Consider the following 19,072-nt stretch of genomic DNA (forward strand, 5'->3'; position numbering starts at 1 on the left):
AGAACTTTTCAGTGTTTGCTGCTTTTATTATCGTTGTAATTATTAAGAGCGAGGAAGTCACATCCCAGTAACTATGGGGGACCTCAAGGCACACATCTGTTTACAGATCCAGGAGAAATTTTGGCTTTAGGGAATTTTATTTGCCTGGGAAAAATGGGGGAAATAATTGAACATGAAGAAGGGTTGGGGCAAGGTAGCAGAGTGAGGTGTGGACTCACTTGGGGGGCTCTGTGGCCAGGACAGGGAAGGACCCCTCGAGGTGCCACTGCTTGTCACGCAGGCGACGCAGGGACTGCATCTGTGGCTGGAAGGCTCCCCACTCATTCCAGTGCCGGAAGTCACCAGGCTCTAGGAGGTACTGGTACCCGCGGTAGCCAGGATACTGATAGCCAACCCATCTGAGAGAAAAGTGAGAAGGACAGAGTGGAGACAGCCTGTCTCGTTGCCTGGCACCCAGACCCCTGCCAGACCAGCCTGTCCTTCATTGATCCCTGCAGTCGGCTGCTCTCTCACTTCTGTCCTGGCTATATCCCTTCCTGCTCTGTGCCCTGGGGCAAGGACTTTGCCTCTCTGATAGGCCTCGGTTTCCTTTTCTAGGAAGTGAGCATGGTCACGGTGCCTGGTTTTATTAAGAGTGCTGGGGGGGACCAAATGGAGAATGCACCTCAAGTGTTTGCTAAGCATGTTGCCTGTGCATGGTAGGAATATGAATACACATCCCATTAAACGTGATGATGCAGGGCTCAGAGAACAAATCCAAGGAAGCAAGAATAGGACTTAGGGACTGGTTAACAATGAAGCAAATGAAAGAGAGGAAGTGTTATTTCAAAAAATTGGTTTTCTTGGCTGGGCGCGGTGGCTCAAGCCTGTAATCCCAGCACTTAGGGAGGCTGAGGCGGGCAAATCACAAGGTCAGGAGATCGAGACCATCCTGGTTAATGCAGTGAAACCCCGTCTCTACTAAAAATACAAAAAAATTAGCAGGGTGTGGTGGTGGGCACCTGTAGTCCCAGCTACTCGGGAGACTGAAGCAGGAGAACGGCGTGAACCCAGGAGGCGGAGCTTGCAGTGAGCTGAGATTGCACCACTGTACTCCAGCCTGAGGGACAGAGCGAGACTCCATCTCAAAAAAAAAAAAATTGGTTTTCTTTGTAGGTAAGTGCATCAGTGCGTAGCAGCTGGGAACACATACTCTGGTATCAAATATATGTGGGTTCAAATCCTAGCTCTGCCATTGATTTACTAGCTGTGAGAATCTAGGTGGATAAGGTATCAGAACCTCAATGTACTGTCTGTACAGTGGGGATGATAATGCACCCACCTCCTTGGTTTGTTATGAAGATTTAATAGTTATTCATTTAAAGTGGTTAGCACAGTCCTTGGTACATAGTAAGCACTCAATAGAAGTTATCATCAGTGATTAATTTCTAACTTCTCTCATTGTCTTTGCTGAGAGGGTCTTTCCAGGCTTCTGCCAGACCCCCTCCCTATATTGTAAAGCCTGGTTTAAGTTCCATCCTCTGCAGATAAACCTTTGACCTGCCCTCTGCCCTAACATACACAGCCAAATCCTAGAAACCTCTCCTCCTCTGACCTCCTACAACACAGTTGCCCTGGCTGGCCCATTCTTTACCTAGTATTGTTGGACACCATCTCACAGGTATATCTGGGTTTCCCTGCTAGGCCAAGTAAGTTCCTTGAAGGTAGGAACTTGGCTGTATTCATCGCTGCTTTCCCCAGTGTACCTAGCACAGTGCCTGGCTCACAGACAAGGCTCCGTATATTTCAGATGGCTTGAATGGCAGGGATATAGGTTTCAGGGAGGCAGAAAGGAACAAGAAAAAGGCCATAGCCATGATGGTGTTACAGGAGCTCAGAACAAGTCTGGGAATGGAGAGACAGAGCCTTACGTTTACCTAGAGGAGATCAAGGGTGTCTGGCATGGTCATTTGGAGGCAGGGGGATGGATAAAGTGACTCCTTTGATCTGGCCCTTCCATGTATTCTCATGACATAAGGTCATGGGGCTCCGTTTTGATAGCTTCAGATCCTGAGCGTTCAGAGCAGGAAGGGCACTCTTGGATCAGGGAATTTTGTGTGCCCATTGCCTAGCTGGCAAGACTGAGAGGCAGAGAGGTGTTTAGGCTCACTCGAGTTCCTCAGCATGTCAGTAGCAGGGTCAGGGCCATCTTATGATGCAAATTCACTGCTCAGAACTCATTCTGTTCATTCTCCCAGAAGCTTCTGATTTCCCTGAATATTCCCTGCTCCTGGATGCATCCAGCCTCATCTATCCACATCAGCGCCGGCCCTTTTAGTTGATTACTCCTTCAACCCCAACTAGGCTTAGCAGCTCCTATTTTCTCCATCTAACAGCTTTTTAGAGCTGATTTGTTTACACTGACCTGGAATTCCTCAAAGTGTGACTCTATTCCCCAGAGGAATAGAGCTCTGTTGGCTGATCCCAGGAACCAGCACTGGGAGACTGTGGAAGGGGCCATGGCCTTCTCTAGGAATCTGATGTTATAACCTGTAAGGGGAGCAGCCTCTGATTCTGCCTGTGCTTGAAGCAGGGGACGCGGACCTGGCAGGAGGGATGCTTACGTTCCACTGGAGACCTTCACGCTGCCCACGCGGTCACTGAAGCCGTAGACCCAGAGACTGGGTGCGTCGTCCCCCTGGATCTCTATGGTGTTGCCCTTGAAGTTGGCCCCTTCAAACAGGGAGATTTTGTGCTCCTGGGCATCCTGGGGAAAGAGAGGCCGGGTCAGGTGTGTGAAGTACAAATGGGACAAAGAGAAGAAACTTAGCGGGGCCTTCTGGGTGTGGAGCGAGAGAGATGAGCCTGTTCAGGCTGCTGGGGGACTCTCCAGGGACCACTGCTGTCTAGTCTGGAAGGAGACATAAGGAAAATGGGATGACAACTCCCACGTCATAGGGTCCTCGTGAGGATGAAATGAGTGTATCCATATAGAGCACTGAGCACGATGCCTGGCATACATCAAGTGCTCAATAAATGCATTTATTGGCCGGGTGCCATGGCTCATGTCTGTAATTCCAGCACTTTGAGAGGCCCAGGTGGGAGGACTGCTTGAGGCCAAGGGTTCAAGACCAGCCTGGGCAACATAGCAAGATCCTGTCTCTCAAAAAAATAATTTTTTTTTTAATTTGCCAGGCATGGTGGTGCATGCCTGTAGTCTCAGCTACTTGGAAGGCTGAGGCAGGAGGATTGCTTGAGCCCAGGAAGTTGAGGCTGCAGCGAGATATGATTACACCACTGCACTCCAGCCTGGGTGACAGAGCAAGACCCTGTCTCAAAAAAAAAAAAAGTATTTATTATTTTTAAAATTATGATCAGGGACAAAAAGGCTCAGAGAGGTCAAGCTTATTGATCAACATCACACAGCCAGGGAGGGGCAGAACCTTTCAGAGAAACACTTCATTCCTAAGCAGTGTCCCTGTGCCATCAGGAGTTTAACCAATTGCCCTTTTGTAAATGCTTCTTACAAACCAGGTGAAACGTGGAACATTGGTGGAACACAGATCTAGGTTCAAATCCTGCCTCTAGGCCGGGTGCGATGGCTCACTCCTATAATCCCAGCACTTTGGGAGGCCGAGGCGGGCAGATCATGTGGTCAGGAGATCAAGACCATCCTGGCTAACACGATGAAACCCCGTCTCTACTAAAAATACAAAAAAAATTAGCCGGGCGTGGTGGTGGGAGCCTGTAGTCCCAGCTACTTGGGAGGCTGAGGCAGGAGAATGGCGTGAACCCAGGAGGCAGAGCTTGCAGTGAGCCGAGATCGTGCCACTTGCACACCAACCTGGGCAACAGAGCGAGACTCCGTCTCAAAAAAAAAAAAAAAAAAACAAAAAACAAATCCTGCCTCTGACATTTATGCACTGGTGATCTTGGACATTTTACTCTGCCTCCTTCAGAGCCTCAGTTTGTTCATCTGTAGAATGGGGTTATTGCCAGGCATGGTGGCTCACATCTGTAATCCCAGCACTTTGGGAGGCCGAGACAGGTAGATCACCTGAGGTCAGGAGTCCAAGACCAGCCTGGCCAACATGGTGAAACCCCATCTCTACTAAAAATGCAAAAATTAGCCAGGTGCAATCACATGTGCCTGTAATCCCAGCTACTCGGGAGGCTGAGGCAGGAGAGTCACTTGAACCTGGGAGGTGGAGGTTGCAGTGAGGCGAGATCACACCACTGCACTCCAGCCTGGGCGACAGAGCAAGACTGTCTCAAACAACAACAACAAAAAAGAATGGGGTTACTATTGCTTCGTGGGATTGTCATGGCTACTCAACTCACGGTTCAGTCCAACTATAAAACAGGCCTGGCCGGGCGCGGTGGCTCACGCCTGTAATCCCAGCACTTTAGGAGGCCAAGATGGGTGGGATCACAAGGTCAGGAGTTCGAGACCAGCCTGACTAACATGGAGAAACCCCATCTCTACTAAAAATACAAAATAATAATAATAATAATAATAATTAGCTGGGCGTGGTGGCACGCACCTGTAGTCCCAGCTACTCAGGAGGCTGAGGCAGGAGAATCACTTGAACCTGGGAGGCAGAGGTTGCAGTGAGCCAAGATTGTGTCACTGCACTCCAGCCTGGGTGACAGAGCAAGACTCTGTCTCAAAAAACAAACAAACAAACAACCAGGCCCACCCTTGAATGTGGGCACATGATTCAGTTCTGGCTTGCACTTATTTTTAATGCTTTCATGACCCTGTATCTTGTTTTTAAAGTTCGTCTGTTATTTCTGAGGGCAGGGATCATCCATCTTTTCAAAAGTCATCATGCACTGTTTTAGGCCCAAGGGTTTGAAGAGCCAAAGAGATGAACAGGAAATAGCAGAGTGATGCCGGACCTCAGTGTCTAGGTTCAAACCCACAGACCTTGGTTCAAATCCCAGCCCCAGCAACTCCCAGCTGTGTGGCCTTAGGCCAGTCATTTTCTACTTCTGAGTCTCAGTTTCCTTGCTTTTAAAATGCATGTTATCATAGCCTGTAGCATAGGACAGTTGTAGGGATTATGTAAAAGGCAGGTAATATACCCAGTACGTAGTTGGTGCTTAAAAATGGATGCTGTGATTATCTACTGTTATTATCTACTGTTATTCACCACCACTAGGAGGAAGAGGAGCCCAGAACGTAAGTGCATCCTTCTGTGAAAGACTCCAGTAGGAGATTATAGATGAAGAAAGAACTGGTTAATTCTTCCAGAGAAAAGCAGAGCAGATCAGGGAAGGCTTCATGGAAGAAGTGACACTAGAGAGGGACCTTGGAGGTTAAGGAGGAGTGCACAAAGCTGAGAAGGGAAGGAGGGTTGAGGGAAGGCACTGAGGCAGAGAAGGCATAGGCAAAAGCTGGGAGGTGGGAATGTGCAAGACAATATCTGTGTGGCCAGGGTGCAGGAAGGCAAGTGCAAGGTGCCAGGCAGGGATGTAAGCACAGGGGACCCTTTGGGGCATGGCAAGACAAATGCCCTTAGTGCAATTACCAGCCAGTGGTAAAAGTACAACAATGATTACTTATTACTGTTACGGTCTTGAGGGCCTTGGGAAGGTTGTTAGTCAATGGCTCCCCACTGCTAGAGGGGTCAAGACTGAACTTGCCACCACCTATGAGACCCTACAAGACCCTGGTCTCCACCACCACCTCCCCTCCCATCTTGCCTCCCTCTTTCCTCCACTCCCTCTGCTGCAGCTTTGTTGGCCACCTTTAATTTTCTTGGTCCCACCAGTCCATCGTTGCTCTAGGAGTTTTGCACACACTGTTCCCTGGAAGGCTTTACCATCTGCTCTTCACGTGGCTGAGTTGGTTTCCAAACTTTGGGAGCTGGCTTCCCTGATGACCCCCTGACCACTCCCACCTCTAACAATATCTGAGCCCCCAGTTCCTGCTTCTGCTTTCCTAGTTAGATTGCATGGCCTTTGTGTAACACCTACCACAGTTTGCAATTGTAGATGGATTTTTATGATTAGCTTTTTGATAGCTGCCTCCCTGGGTAGCTTAAGTCCCATGAAGACAGGGACCTAGTCTGTTTGATGCACAGTTTTGCACTCAGAGCCTAGAACCAGAGCCTGGCAGAAACAGGCCAACTGGTTGGGCGCACTGGCTCATGCCTGTAATCCCAGCACTTTGGGAGGCCCAGGCGGGTAGATCACTTGAGATCAGGAGTTTGAGACCATCCTGGCCAACATGATGAAACCCTGTCTCTATAAAAAATACAAAAATTATCTGGGCGTGGCGGTGCACACCTATAATCCCAGCTACTTGGGAGGCTGAGGCAGGAGAATTGCTTGCCCCAGGGAGGTGAAGGTTGCAGTGAGCCAGAACGTGCCACTACACTCCAGCCTGGGCAACAGAGTTAGATGTGTCTCAAAAAAAAAAAAAAAAAAAAAGGAAAATAGAAACAGGCCAACCAAAATGTCTGGGTTCAAGTAGAAGATGGTCAGGTTTATTTTTTTTTTTTATTTTGAAAAGATCCCTCTAACTTCCCACGACAGGGGGCTGGAAAGGAGTCAGGGAACCCAGCAGGGAGAGAGCTGAAGATGACCAGGTCAGAGATGATGGTGGCCTGGACCAGGACTGTGGCAGGGCAGAGAGAGGAAGGGTTAGACCAAGCTTATTTAACCTGCGGCCTGCAGGCCACATGTGGCTCAGGATGGCTTTGAATGTGGCCCAACACAAATTTGTGAACTTTCTTAAAACATTATGAGATTTTTTTTGCAATTGTTTTAAAGCTCATCCGCTATCGTTAGTGATAGTGTATTTTATGTGTAGCCCAAGACAATTCTTCCAGCGTGGGCCAGGGAAGCCAAAATATTGGGCACCCCTGAATTAGATGGTTGGATCTCAGCCCTGGCTGCACAGACGGACTACTTAGAGGGCATAGAAAAGATAGCAGTGCCGGAGTTCCAGCCCTAGAGATTCAGAATTAATTGGTCTGGGGTGGGGTCTAGGCTTTGAGATTTCTAAACATTTCTAATAACATATTTTATTTAAACAAATATACCTAAAATATTATAATTTCAATATGTAACCAATATAATGATATCAATGCATTGTTGACATTCTTTAAAATTTTTTTTACTATGTATTCAAAACCTAATATGTATTTTACACTTATGACACATCTCCATTTAGCCAAAATTCAAGTGTCCAATGGCCACATATGGCTACTGCCTATTATGTTGAATAGCAAGCTTCTAGAAGCTACTGGAAATGCCCTGGTTGATCACTCTTCCAAACAAACCCCTTAACATAGGTTGGCATATAAGAACCATTCAATGATTGAGAGAGACATCTGTGAATTCTTACAGAGAGTGCATCATGAAGGCAAATAATTCAGTCTTACATTCTGCGAAAAGTGTTGGGAATGATCTGTTTGAATAATCCATTAAGATAAATTTGGTGATGTCAAAACAGCTGGTGGTTGGCACTTGATAGCCTCAAATGCACATTCATGAAAATTCTTATAAATGTTCCCATCATGGAAGACAAAAGTCGGTTACCATCAGCAACTAACATTGGTGAGTAAGATGTAGCTGGTTCATGACTCATCATCAACTTAATTCTGGAAAAAACTGTGAATCACTTGGAGATATCGCCACCATTTTGACCTTGAATCTTCTGGAAGTTGACTTAGTTAAATATTATAAGAAACTAATTCAGTATATTGTCTTATTATTAAGAGGTTCAAGCTGCGTTTCTACAGTATCCCTCTCCTTTTTTTTTTTTTTTTTTTTTGAGATGGAGTCTGGCACCGTCACCCCGGCTGGAGTGCAATGGCATGATCTCGGCTCACTGCAACCTCTGGCTCCCGGGTTCAAGTAATTCTCCTGCCTCAGCCTTGCTAGTAGCTGGGATTACAGGCATGCGCCACCACGCCCGGCTAATTTTTGTATTTTTAGTAAAGACGGGGTTTCGTCATGTTGATCAGGCTGGTCTTGAACTCCTGACCTTGGGTAACCACCCACCTCAGCCTCCCAAAGTGCTGGGATTACAGGCATGGGCCACCATGCCCGGCTACAATATCCCTCTTCTTAGCCATTGCATGATCTGCAACCAGCATGTTTGGTGTTTCGAATGGGCACTGAAATTTGAAAAGTTTTCCCAGGCCTGGCATGGTGGCTCACGGCTGTAATCCTAGCACTTTAGGAGGCCCAGGCGGGAGGATCACTTGAGGCCAGGAGTTCAAGGCTGCAGTGAGCTATGATCACACTACTGTACACCAGGCTGGGGGACACAGCAAAACCCCATCTTTGGGAAAAAAAAAAAAAAAAAAAGCTCCCAGTAAGGTCTAAATGTGCAGCCAGGGATATCAAGAGAATCAAGGAAGATGCTGAAGTTTTTAGCTCTAACTTGGAAGCTTTTGTGCTTATCATTTGCCCAGGGTTCCTAGCTGGGTATGTAGTGAGTGTGTTAAGGACACTGATGAATTGATGAGCTCAAGAATCCACGGTCCTTTGACAACTCGGAGGCTGCCACGCCTCCCTACCCACCATCATCTCCTTCTTGCCCTTGTCAGATCTCAGACTTACACCTGCCCTGCCCCGCCTGGCTGATTCTCCAGCCCCAGCCGGAGAGCCACTCACCATTTTGATGGGCCGGAAGGACATGAGCCGATCACTGCGGTAGCTGCTCGACCATGTGTTCCAGCGAGGGTACTCGCCCTTCTCCAGGATGAACATCTCCCCGCGGAAGTTGGACTGCTCAAAGGCGACCCAGCTGGATACAAGAAGGACCATGAGGCAGACAGGAGACATATGGTTAGTAGAAGCCCCCACTCCCTACTTGCCTTTCTCTCTCCCCTGGCAAGGCAGCCCTGAGGACAGTAGGAAAGTCCAAAGGGGGCTGAACATGTCTGGGTTTGATTTTAGGCTCTGACACTTACAGGCTGTGTGACTATGGGCAAGTGACTTTACCTCTCTGAGCCTTTGTTTCTCATCTACACTCATATGCCTGTTTCCTTGGAGTTGGTGAAGGATTAAGTGAGATAAATGTGTGTGATTATCTGAGCACACTGTTTCTCTAGATGTAAGGTTCATACATGCTTCAAGTACTATCAGGACTTGGAGCCAAGGAACACATAGACATTTGAAACTTGACGCCAGCTAGGAGAAAGGCTCGTTTGATGTTAATGTGCCTTTAACACTTACTAATCTCTCCTTTTTTTCTTTTGTAACAAAGAGAGAAAAGACCACTAGCCCAGAACCTCCAGCAGACAATGGTGTAATAGCAACATAATAATACCACTTTTGTGTTTATTGTTAATTTTGTATGGATACCTTTTACTTATAGGAAATAATACTAGCCTTCCATTTGTAAAAAGTGGTGTCAGGGTTCTTTTAAAATGTGTTTATTTGTGGTTAGCAGGATCATTTTAAATGAAATATATTAAATGAACGACAGTCTCGGAGGTACAGGGGTAAGGGAAAAATTGATACAGGTGTTTGCATCCTTGCTGGGTAAATACTGGCCTGGTATTCGGGAGATACTCAGTAACTAGTATGAGGCAATGGGAAGGGAATGATGGTAATATCTACCCTCAGATACCTATGGTAATATAATGTGATAGCGCTTATGAAGATGCTAGGTTCCTTACATGGACTAATTAGAAGTTTGAAATTAGATGGAAGATTTTCCTGGCTTTCCCAGTGAAGATTGATTAAGGACAAGAAGTGAGCTTGTGTTACAGGGACCAGGGATTGTGGCAGTGCAGGTGGGGTAGATAAGACAATCCCCATTCCGTAGATGAGAAAGCTGAGACTAAGGAACTCCTTGACCTTTGCTCCCCGTGTGTTCAAGAGTTCTTAGGAAAAAAGAGACGGATGAGGGGACACTGACACTAGCATCTTCTCCCAGGGGGCTGCTGGGACCCTGCTCTCCCCAGAAGGAGACAAGGATGATGGGCTATCACCATGGGCTGAGACAGAATGCATCACAGGAGCCTCAGGTCTTTGTCTGAGAGATGAGTTAACCACACTGGAGTAAATTAAAGATATGTTTGTCTTCCCAGAATAGAGTTGCATTTGCCTCAGCCCTGTCTGGTCTGGAGTAGAAGAGAAATAAATGGGAGAATAGATGGATGGATGGACAGATGAATGGGTGGATGGATGGGTGGATGAAAGGATGGTTGAATAGATGGATAGGTGGATGGGTAGATGGACAGATGAATGGATGCATGGATAAAGGGATGGATGAAGGGATGGTTGAATTGATGGATAGCTAGATGGGTAGATGGATGGGTGGGTAGATGGATAGATTTATAGATGGATGGGTGGGTGATGGAGAACACATGGTGGGTACGTGTGTATAAATGGAGAATGGATGTATGTATGGATAGATCAATAGACGAATGGGTAGATGCATGGGTAAGTAGATGGATGATGAATAAATGGGTGGATAGACGCATGGGTGAATAAGAAGGGAGCCTTGGAAGGTGGTTTCATGTAGGAGTTAAGAGGACAGACCCTGGAAACAGACAGACCTGAATTCTAATCCAAGCTTTGCCATTTGCTGCATGCATTTGGGCAGCACTTACACCTGCTAAGCTTTAGTAACAGAGAAGAAATGATACATCTACTTTGTTGCATCTACCTTGTTGGGAGATTATGAGGGCCTAAAAGAGGGAATGCATGGAACAGATACAGCACAGAGTAAGCCTCCAAATTAATACTGTTCCTGATTAAAGGGAGAAGGAAACTGGAGGTCTAGGCTTCTGGAAAAACAGACACTGATGTGGTCTTGCCACCATGCCCAAGTCCCCCTAAAATCTCCCCTATCTTCTTCAGCAGGACCAGTGAGGATCTAAATTTTAAATGTTTATATCTATGCCTTTTCTTATCTCCCATGGCTCATTTCAACCCGCAAGCAGGGAGAGAGGGTAGGGCAGGAATTTTAATTTATAAGATATGGAAACTGAGGCTAAGAGGGGTTAAGTCCCCAGCCTAAGGTCACATGATGGTGTTGGGTGTCAGGCTGCAGTCTCCTGGGTTTCAGGCAGGCAGGCCTCCTCACTTTCCCCATGCCTACCTCACCCTCTTCATTCTTTTTTTCCCATGGCCCTGCCAGCGCCCACACAGACCCAGGCCCCCGGACCACAGGCCCGTTTCCATGCCCATCAGGCACGGCTCCAAGGCACACGTCAGACACCAGCTGCATCTTTGTTTGAGGAGAAATACTCTGGGTTTGAGTCACTGGTACCAAAAAAAGCCTGAAAACCCATGCTGGCCACATCCGGTAGCTTCTGCTTCCAGCTGGGTTTTGGGGCTGAGGGTGGAGCTGAGGCTGCGTTGACCACACTGAGGGTGCAGGAGGTAGAAATGGTCCCGGGTAGCCTCCAGGATAAGTTGGCTAAATTCACCGGGCAGGGAGGTGGGTACGTGACCATCAGAGTCACCTGCCATGTTTGGGTGCCCACAAGGTAACAGGCCCATGCTGTATGATCTCCCTCAGACCTCAGCATAATCCTGTGAGGAGTGGTGAGGGCCATCCTTCTCCCCATTTCAAAGATGGGGAAACTGAGGCTTGCACACTGAACAAGGCAAACAGGGGAAGTCAGGACTCAAACCCAGGCTTGTCTGACCTCAAAGCTCATCTCGGAATGGGCTCAGAATACAGGATGACTGGAACCCTTGCAGGCTTTCAAAGTGGGGGAGACAAGAGCAAACGAGCTGCGTGGATCTTGTCCTGGGGCTGCCCCTCCACCCTGACCTCAGCACACACAGGCTGGACATAGGGCAACCACTCTGCCCAAGGATGACTATCCCTGTTTTATATGGGAGTCACTAAGGCCCAGAGACACCCACAGAGACAGGAACAGGCAGTGAAGCATGGTGATTAAGAGCTTTAGGAATGAACTCAATCAACCTGAGTTGAATCCTGGCTGTGCCACTTACCAATAGGTGACCTTGGGTAAGAGACTCACCCCCTCTGAGCCTCAGTCTTTCCATCTGTCAAGTGGGCATAAGAATAGCCTCTGCCTCCTACAGCACTGTGAATCATCTAGGTGTGGTCCCGAGTCAGTGCCTGGCACCTGGTGGGTGTGCCACAGATGCTTATCATTACTCCCAGGCAGCTGGACGCCCAGGAGAGGGGACAGCGAGTGGACACTTCACTCTTTGACCTCTCTCAGCCCTCGGTAATGGGCTAGAGTTTGTTTTTTTTTTTTTTGTTTTTTTTTTTTTTTTGAGACGGAGTCTCGCTCTGTCGCCCAGGCCGGACTGCAGACTGCAGTGGCGCAATCTCGGCTCACTGCAAGCTCCGCTTCCCGGGTTCACGCCATTCTCCTGCCTCAGCCTCCCGAGTAGCTGGGACTACAGGCGCCCGCCACCACGCCCGGCTAATTTTTTGTATTTTTAGTAGAGACGGGGTTTCACCTTGTTAGCCAGGATGGTCTCGATCTCCTGACCTCGTGATCCACCCGCCTCGGCCTCCCAAAGTGCTGGGATTACAGGCGTGAGCCACCGCGCCCGGCCGGGCTAGAGTTTTTGCTATAGTAGAAGCAGCATTTCTCCAGAGCCCAGAACCATGGCTTACTGCCAGTGTGATCTTATGCTAATTGGATCACCTCTCCGAGCCTCAGTTTCCTCATCCGTAAAATGAGATTGAGAACAATTCCTCCCTCTTCAGTTTGATATGAGGATTGGACATAATGTATGTGCCAGGAGTACGAACGGCCGCAGGCACAGAGCAGATGCTGGAGAAATGGCAGCTACTGTTGTGTGGTCATTTTACTGTGGCAGAGAGTGTGCCCCTCCGCCGCCCAGTACTCACGGTCCCGCGGAGACAATGATGCTGCGCACACGGTCGAAGCCACGGTCTGCCAGATTTGAGCACTCCCCCGAGAATTCTGCTCGACGGCCCTGGAAGTTTTCCAGTTCGAAGACCACCAGCTGCAGGAGAGAAGCCCCCATGCCAAGGGCAGAGTGAGGGGGGAGTCAAAAATTCATTAAGTATCTACATAAATAAAAGCCAGCAGTGCAGGAGTCACATAAAAGTGTGATGAGCCACAGTTTGTGAAATGATCCTGTCCTCCCATCCCCCAATTCTTTACTGATTTTTGTTTTTTGTTTGTTTGTTTGTTTTTCTGAGTCTCACTCTGTCGCCCCAGCTGAAGTTCAGTGGCGCAATCATGGCTCACTGCAACCTCCGCCTCCCAGGCTCAAGCGATCCTCCCACCTCAGCCTCCGAGTAGTTGAGATTACAGGCACCCACCACCATGCCTGGCTATTTTTTGTAGAGACAGGATTTTGCCATGTTGCTCAGGCTGGTCTCGAATTCCTGAGCTCAAATGATTGGCCTGCCTTGGCTTCCCAAAGTGTTGGGATTACAGGCATGAGCCATTGCACCTGGCCTCATGCCCTAATTCTGAAGCTAAGATCTGCGCCATCATTAGGAACTTATGAACCTCCCTTTCAGGCCTTTCTTTGTGCTATTCCTCCTGCCTGGAATGCCTTCTCCACCACACATATCCAGCTTGGAGCTCCCACTGCCTAACTGAAGTTCCCTAATACGCATTCCAGCTCGTTATTCTGTTTTAGGCTCAGGTGCCACCTTCTCCAGGAAGCCTTCTCTGATTGCCCCTTCCTCCATCGGCCTTGGTTGAGCATCCCCCACTGTCCTCTCCCCATTAGCAGCACAACTAACCCACCACACAGTCACTGCTGTTTTGCTTTGGGGTCTCCCTCTCTCTCTGCACTCCCTCTCTCCCATTACCCAGCCCCTCCAAAGACCAAGGACTCCTCCAGGGCAGGGCCTGAGGTTGATCAATTTCTGTATCTCCAGCCCCAGCCCCAGTACCTGCCACAGAGCTGATGCTCAGGAGACACTTGCAAATCCAACCCTCCACAACATAGGGGAAAACTTGAGCTAATCTTCTCTCCTCACTAAGCCTCATGTTTGGTTCCTTGTCCACTTGCTGTTCCAAGTTGGGACAACGTTGCCATTCACATGGACCAAGGCACAATTTTCTGCCTTCTTTGAGCCTCAGTTTCCCCAGCTGTAAGAGGAGGGGAGGTTCATATAACCATGACCCAGCACTTCCACTTCTACCTTTGGTTGCCCAAGAGAAACTCCTGTATGTGTGCCCCGGGATGTTGCGGGAAGTCAGGGACCCCAAACGGAGGAACTGGCTGAAGCCATGGCAGAAGAACGTGGATTGTGAAGATTTCATGGACATTTATTAGTTCCCCAAATTAATACTTTTGTAATTTCTTATGCCTGTCTTTACTGCAATCTGTAAACATAAATTGTAAAGATTTCATGGACACTTATCACTTCCCCAATCAATACCCTTGTGCTTTCCTATGCCTGTCTTTACTTTAATCTCTTAATCCTGTCAGCTGAGGAGGATGTATGTCGCCTCAGGACCGTGTGATAATTGCATTAACTGCACAAATTGTACAGCATGTGTGTTTGAGCAATATGAAATGTGGGCACCTTAAAAAAGAACAGGATAACAGCAATTGTTCAGGGAATAAGAGAGATAACCTTAAACTCTGACCGCCAGTGAGCCGGGCAGAACAGAGCCATATTTCTCTTCTTTCAAAAGCAAATGGGAGAAATATCGCTGAATTCTTTTTCTCAGCATGGAACATCCCTGAGAAAGAGAATGCGCACCTGGGGTTAGGTCTCTAAACTGGCCCCCCTGGGCGTGGTCGTCTCTTATGGTCGACGCTGCAGAGATGAGATAGACTCCAGTCTCCCATAGCTCTCCCAGGCTTATTAGGAAGAGGAAATTCCTGCCTAATAAATTTTGGCCAGACCGGTTGATCTCAAAACCCTGTCTCCTGATAAGATGTTATCAATGACAATGGTGCCCAAAACTTCATTAGCAATTTTAATTTTGCCCCGGTCCTGTGATCCTGTGATCTCTCCCTGCCTCCACTTGCCCTGTGATATTCTATTACCTTGTAAAGTACTTGATGTCTGTGACCCACACCTATTCTCACACTCCCTCCCCTTTTGAAACTCCCTAATAAAAACTTGCTGGTTTTTGCAGCTTGTGGGGCATCACGGAACCTACTGACATGTGATGTCTCCCCCGGACGCCCAGCTTTACAATTTTTCTCTTTTGTACTCTGTCCCTTTATTTCTCAAGCTGGCCGACGCTTAGGAAAAATAGAAAAGAATCTATGTGAATATCGGGGCAGGTTCCCCGATACCAGGAGACAGGGATAAGAACGTCCAAGCCATGCTGTTCACGAGAGCAAAGCTAGCAACCACTGAAATCGTGCTTAGCAGGAAAGAGATGGTCACGCTCTGAAATATCAGGCAGCAGCCAGAATGAATGGCCGGCAGTCATGCGCAACAATATGGATGGATATTAGGGATCTCATAGTAAGTGAAAAGTACAAAGAAAAGCCCAGAATAATCACATTGCATATTTCAATAAATTAAAAACAAGTAAATCGGCCAGTTGCGGTGGCTCACACCTATAATTCCAGCACTTGGGGAGGCGGAGGCTAGGAGTTCGAGACCAGCCTGGATAATATGGCAAAACCCGTCTCATAATTCGGTCTCAAAATAAATGAATAAATAAAACAAGTAAATAAATATACATGTGTATGTGTGTATACATTTTTAAAGGAATAATGCATAAAATTGTATACAAAAGCAAGCAAGCAGATTACAGACACAGGTTGAGGATAGGACAGTATTTCCTGGAGTTGGGGAGGAAAATGATGGACTCAAGGGAGACACCTTAGAGTTAGGTAGAAAGTTTTTAACCAAGTCCTGGCTTTTATATGGGTGGTGGGTTTGTAGGTGCATATTGCATTATTAGAAATTAAATAAAACTAATGATTAAATAGGTACATAAATAAAAACCTGCCACGCACTGACCACATGAGAGCGTGTCATGAACTAGGGGTTGCAAAATGGCCTACTTCTGTGACCTGAGGTTGAAACCACACCAAACCAAATCCCAGGGGACTGGACACCTTGCTCCACAGGATGCCTTTCAGCCCAGACCACCTCGAGCAATTTTGAGGGTCTGAGGCCATCCTGCTGCCCCAGTGAGCCTCCAAGGACAGCTGGTTCCCTGCTGCTAAGCCAGCCCACTTCCTTTTCTTCTTTTTTTTTCTTGCTTTCGATAAACTCTAAGCATGTGCGTGTGCAGGTGTAGCCTGATTGCCAGGTGTCCCTTCAGCTGTGAAGCGGTATGGTTTGGTTGTTGTTATTGCACAACTCAACTATAGGTCCCCTTTTTCTTTCTATTCTTTTCTTTTTTTTTTTGATGGAGTCTCCCTCTGTTGCCCAGGCTGGAGTGCAGTGGCATGATCTCAGCTCACTGCAACCTCCGCCTCCTGGGTTCAAGTGATTCTCCTGCCTCAGCCTCCCAAGTAGCTGGGATTACAGGCGCCCACCACTACGCCTGGCTAATTTTTGTATTTTTAGTAGAGACAGGGTTTCACCATGTTGGCCAGGCTGGTCTCGAACTCCTGACCTCAGGTGATCCACCTGCCTCGGCCTCCCAAAGTGCTGGGATTACAGGCATGAGCCACTGCGCCCGGCCCCACTTTCTCCAAGTGTGTCAGAACCCCTGGCTATTTTATGGGCTCCCAGATTGGCTGGGCCACACTTGTGTCCCAGAAGGAGGAGGGAGGAGGAGGCCAAGGTGAGGGAAAAAGAGAATAGGGACAGAGGATAAGAGTCTGGGGAGGTGGAGAAGAAGAAAAGGGAGAGTAAATAGAAAGGAGAGAAAATAAGCCAAGAAAAAGGAGGAGAAAGAGGTGCGGAGGAGTAAGAGGTGAAAGAGGAAGAGGAGGAGGAGAAGAAGGAGGAGGAGGGAAGGAAGGAAAGAAGGCATGGCACCCAGCCACTGCACCCCCAGGTCCTTACCCTGTAGTTCCCAGGAGGCAGTTCCGCCGCCTTGGCGCTGGTAATAGGCACGGTTGTTGGGGCCAGGGTAGTGCCGGGACTAGGGGATGTTCCTGCAGGTGGGGCCCCCTTCCCCTTGGTGTCAGGCCCTGGGTTCACCGCCACTGTGGCCGAGGCCGAGGCCTTTGCAGCCTGAGACATGGTTCCCGCCTGCAAAAGTCTGTAAAGAAACTCTGGCCTTCAGGGATGACACCCCCAAACTGCCTCCTGCCCTCATAGCCCCACATCCTGTGCTTTCAGCCTCCTTGGAGCTCGTTTCCTCTCTATCTCCTTCTGAAACGGTTAAGCCTGGAAGTTTTTCTTTCATCCCTACTTCCCAGCCAAGACCTTCCCGTCTGGGGGCCACTCATCCCACATATATCCTTCCTCCAGGCTTTTGACCATGCGGTTCCCTCCACTAGCTGTTCCACCCTCCATTACCCCGCTAGGTCCTTCCTTAGCCCCCTGCAATTTTCCACACTGCTTATCACACTGATTTGCTTGTGCAACTCCAATTTGCCTCCCTAGACTAATAACAAGAAGTCCCATTTGGGAGTACTTAAGGTGTGCCAGGCACTGTGACATACATTAATTAACCCATCTGACCATGAACCTCACCCGATGGAGTAGCTGCTATCATGATCCCCTCTGAGCAGCAGGGGGCTGGAGAAGGAAGGGGCCCAGCTCAGGCCCAAACAGCTACTAAGTGGTAGGGCTCTGATTTCAACTCAAGGAAATGGAGCCAGCAACTGGGCTTTTAAAGTATTCTGCCATTTGCTTAATCTGATTTATTCACCGTCCATCCCTAACACTTGCTCTGCACCTGGCACATAGGAGATGCCCAATTAACATTTGTTCAGAGAATGAATGAATGCATGCTCCCAGCTCCTTTCCCCGTCTGCTTCCTCTGAGGGGTTGGTGTATGGGTGCAAATACAGGCCGGGGACTGAGGCTTATGGGAGGACCCAAGAGGATGTATTTACTGCATGTGGAGGGTTCTGAAAATGAGGACTGGGGCTGGGTAGGCTTTGGGTGGAGAGGGCTTTGGTCAATTCCAGTGGTTCCTTGTTGCTTTGGGGTCGTGGACTCCTTTGAATGTTTGATGAATACCTCAACTTTGTCCCCGGACAAAAATAATGCTCTCTTTAACTTTGGAGACAATGTTAAGGGATTTGAGGACCCCCTGCTAGCACAGATTAAGACCCTCTGGTCAAGCTGATTCCCGAACACATTCTGTAAGGCGGAGCTAGTTGGGATAAGCACATCCCTCCCCCAGCCTCCTCCAGGAAGGCTGTGCATATTCTGGGGTGCCCCCTGTTCACCAGGGGTGAGGCCAGACATCTGGACCACATCTGTGGCTTTAAACACTCCCCCAGGGCTGGCAGCTGGACTCATGCCTTCCTGGAGATATTCTCATTCTCTCTCTCTCCCTGCTTCACCCTCTCCCTCTGTTCCTCCTCTCTTCCCTGTCTTTGCCTCTCTATCTGTTTCTTACTTCTCTCCCTCTTTCTGCCTATCTGCCTGTCTGTTTCTCTCCCTCTCTGTTCCTCTCTCCCCCACTATCTCTCCCTCATTGTATCTTTGCTTATCTCTCTATCTGTCCTTTTTAATTATATTTACTTCTCTCTCTATTTCTGTCTTTTCTCACTCTCTCCCCTCTCCCTCTCCCTCCCTTTCTTCCTCTCTCCACTTCCGTCTTTATCTCCATGGCCCTGCTCTCTGACTCTCATGGCACTGCTATCTCTGCCTCCCTCTCTCTGTCTCCCTTTTCTCTTCCCCTCCCCTTCAGCTCTCAGCTGGGCTGTGGGTTCCCTCTTACCTGGGGACTTGCTACTTCCTGCTGGAGGACAGGCAGGCGGGCAGGTGCTATGGGTGACTAGAGTCCGACCCCCCATTTTATAGTCTGGCAGACATCAGGCCCTATAGTCTGTGGCACAAAGGGGAAGCTGGCTCAGCAGGCCTGGGCAGGGAGTGGGGGACTGGGGCCCTGACCTCGCCTGGATCACTGCAGACAGCAGCACTTTCCTTTGTGAGACCAGCACACACAGCAGAAACCCTGGCCACAGCAGCTTCACCTTCCAACCCTACCCTGACTCCTTTCTCAACAACCCCAGCCAGGGATGGGCCCCCAAAAGGGTCCCTGCTGGCTGCCAACATGGGGCAGGGAAAAGGGGAGACCCTGGGAGGCAG

General features: G+C 48.6%; 2 protein-coding genes across 3 annotated transcripts in view, besides 5 other annotated features; one reads left to right on the plus strand and one right to left on the minus strand.

Moving 5' to 3' along the window:
- Positions 1–19,072, plus strand: part of CRYBA4 (crystallin beta A4) — a 40,450-nt gene that overhangs the window by 9,056 nt on the left and 12,322 nt on the right. The window contains exon 3 of the mRNA XM_006724140.4: positions 8,547–8,787. Coding sequence (XP_006724203.1) covers positions 8,785–8,787 — 3 coding nt within the window. The 5' untranslated portion in view covers positions 8,547–8,784. The remainder of the gene's footprint in view (positions 1–8,546; positions 8,788–19,072) is intronic.
- Positions 3–18,752, minus strand: CRYBB1 (crystallin beta B1). 2 transcript variants are annotated; one of them, XM_011529899.4, is made up of 6 exons: positions 18,702–18,752; positions 16,865–17,053; positions 12,797–12,915; positions 8,614–8,746; positions 2,604–2,746; positions 3–398 (listed from the first exon to the last, which is right to left on the minus strand). In XM_011529899.4, exons 2-6 carry the CDS (start codon positions 17,042–17,044, stop codon positions 215–217), a joined length of 759 nt encoding a protein of 252 aa, XP_011528201.1. In that variant the 5' UTR covers positions 17,045–17,053; positions 18,702–18,752; the 3' UTR covers positions 3–214. The 2 variants fall into 2 exon arrangements, with proteins under 2 accessions (XP_011528201.1, NP_001878.1); NM_001887.4 differs by having other exon boundaries at positions 16,865–17,063.
- Positions 8,123–8,765: an enhancer, noted in NCBI's record as "H3K4me1 hESC enhancer chr22:27003362-27004004 (GRCh37/hg19 assembly coordinates)". NCBI's record gives its function as "activates a minimal SCP1, AML or CMV promoter by ChIP-STARR-seq in naive H9 embryonic stem cells {active_cell/tissue: H9 hESC(naive)}" and the evidence as "EXISTENCE:reporter gene assay evidence [ECO:0000049][PMID:30033119]".
- Positions 11,005–11,384: an enhancer, noted in NCBI's record as "active region_18796". NCBI's record gives its function as "activates an Ori minimal core promoter by ATAC-STARR-seq in GM12878 lymphoblastoid cells {active_cell/tissue: GM12878}" and the evidence as "EXISTENCE:reporter gene assay evidence [ECO:0000049][PMID:35858748]".
- Positions 11,995–12,064: a silencer, noted in NCBI's record as "silent region_13574". NCBI's record gives its function as "represses an Ori minimal core promoter by ATAC-STARR-seq in GM12878 lymphoblastoid cells {active_cell/tissue: GM12878}" and the evidence as "EXISTENCE:reporter gene assay evidence [ECO:0000049][PMID:35858748]".
- Positions 14,417–15,095: an enhancer, noted in NCBI's record as "OCT4-NANOG-H3K27ac hESC enhancer chr22:27009656-27010334 (GRCh37/hg19 assembly coordinates)". NCBI's record gives its function as "activates a minimal SCP1, AML or CMV promoter by ChIP-STARR-seq in primed H9 embryonic stem cells {active_cell/tissue: H9 hESC(primed)}" and the evidence as "EXISTENCE:reporter gene assay evidence [ECO:0000049][PMID:30033119]".
- Positions 17,806–18,483: an enhancer, noted in NCBI's record as "NANOG-H3K27ac-H3K4me1 hESC enhancer chr22:27013045-27013722 (GRCh37/hg19 assembly coordinates)". NCBI's record gives its function as "activates a minimal SCP1, AML or CMV promoter by ChIP-STARR-seq in primed H9 embryonic stem cells {active_cell/tissue: H9 hESC(primed)}" and the evidence as "EXISTENCE:reporter gene assay evidence [ECO:0000049][PMID:30033119]".

This window comes from Homo sapiens, chromosome 22, assembly GCF_000001405.40.
Source record: "Homo sapiens chromosome 22, GRCh38.p14 Primary Assembly".
NCBI classification, from domain to species: Eukaryota; Metazoa; Chordata; class Mammalia; order Primates; family Hominidae; genus Homo; species Homo sapiens.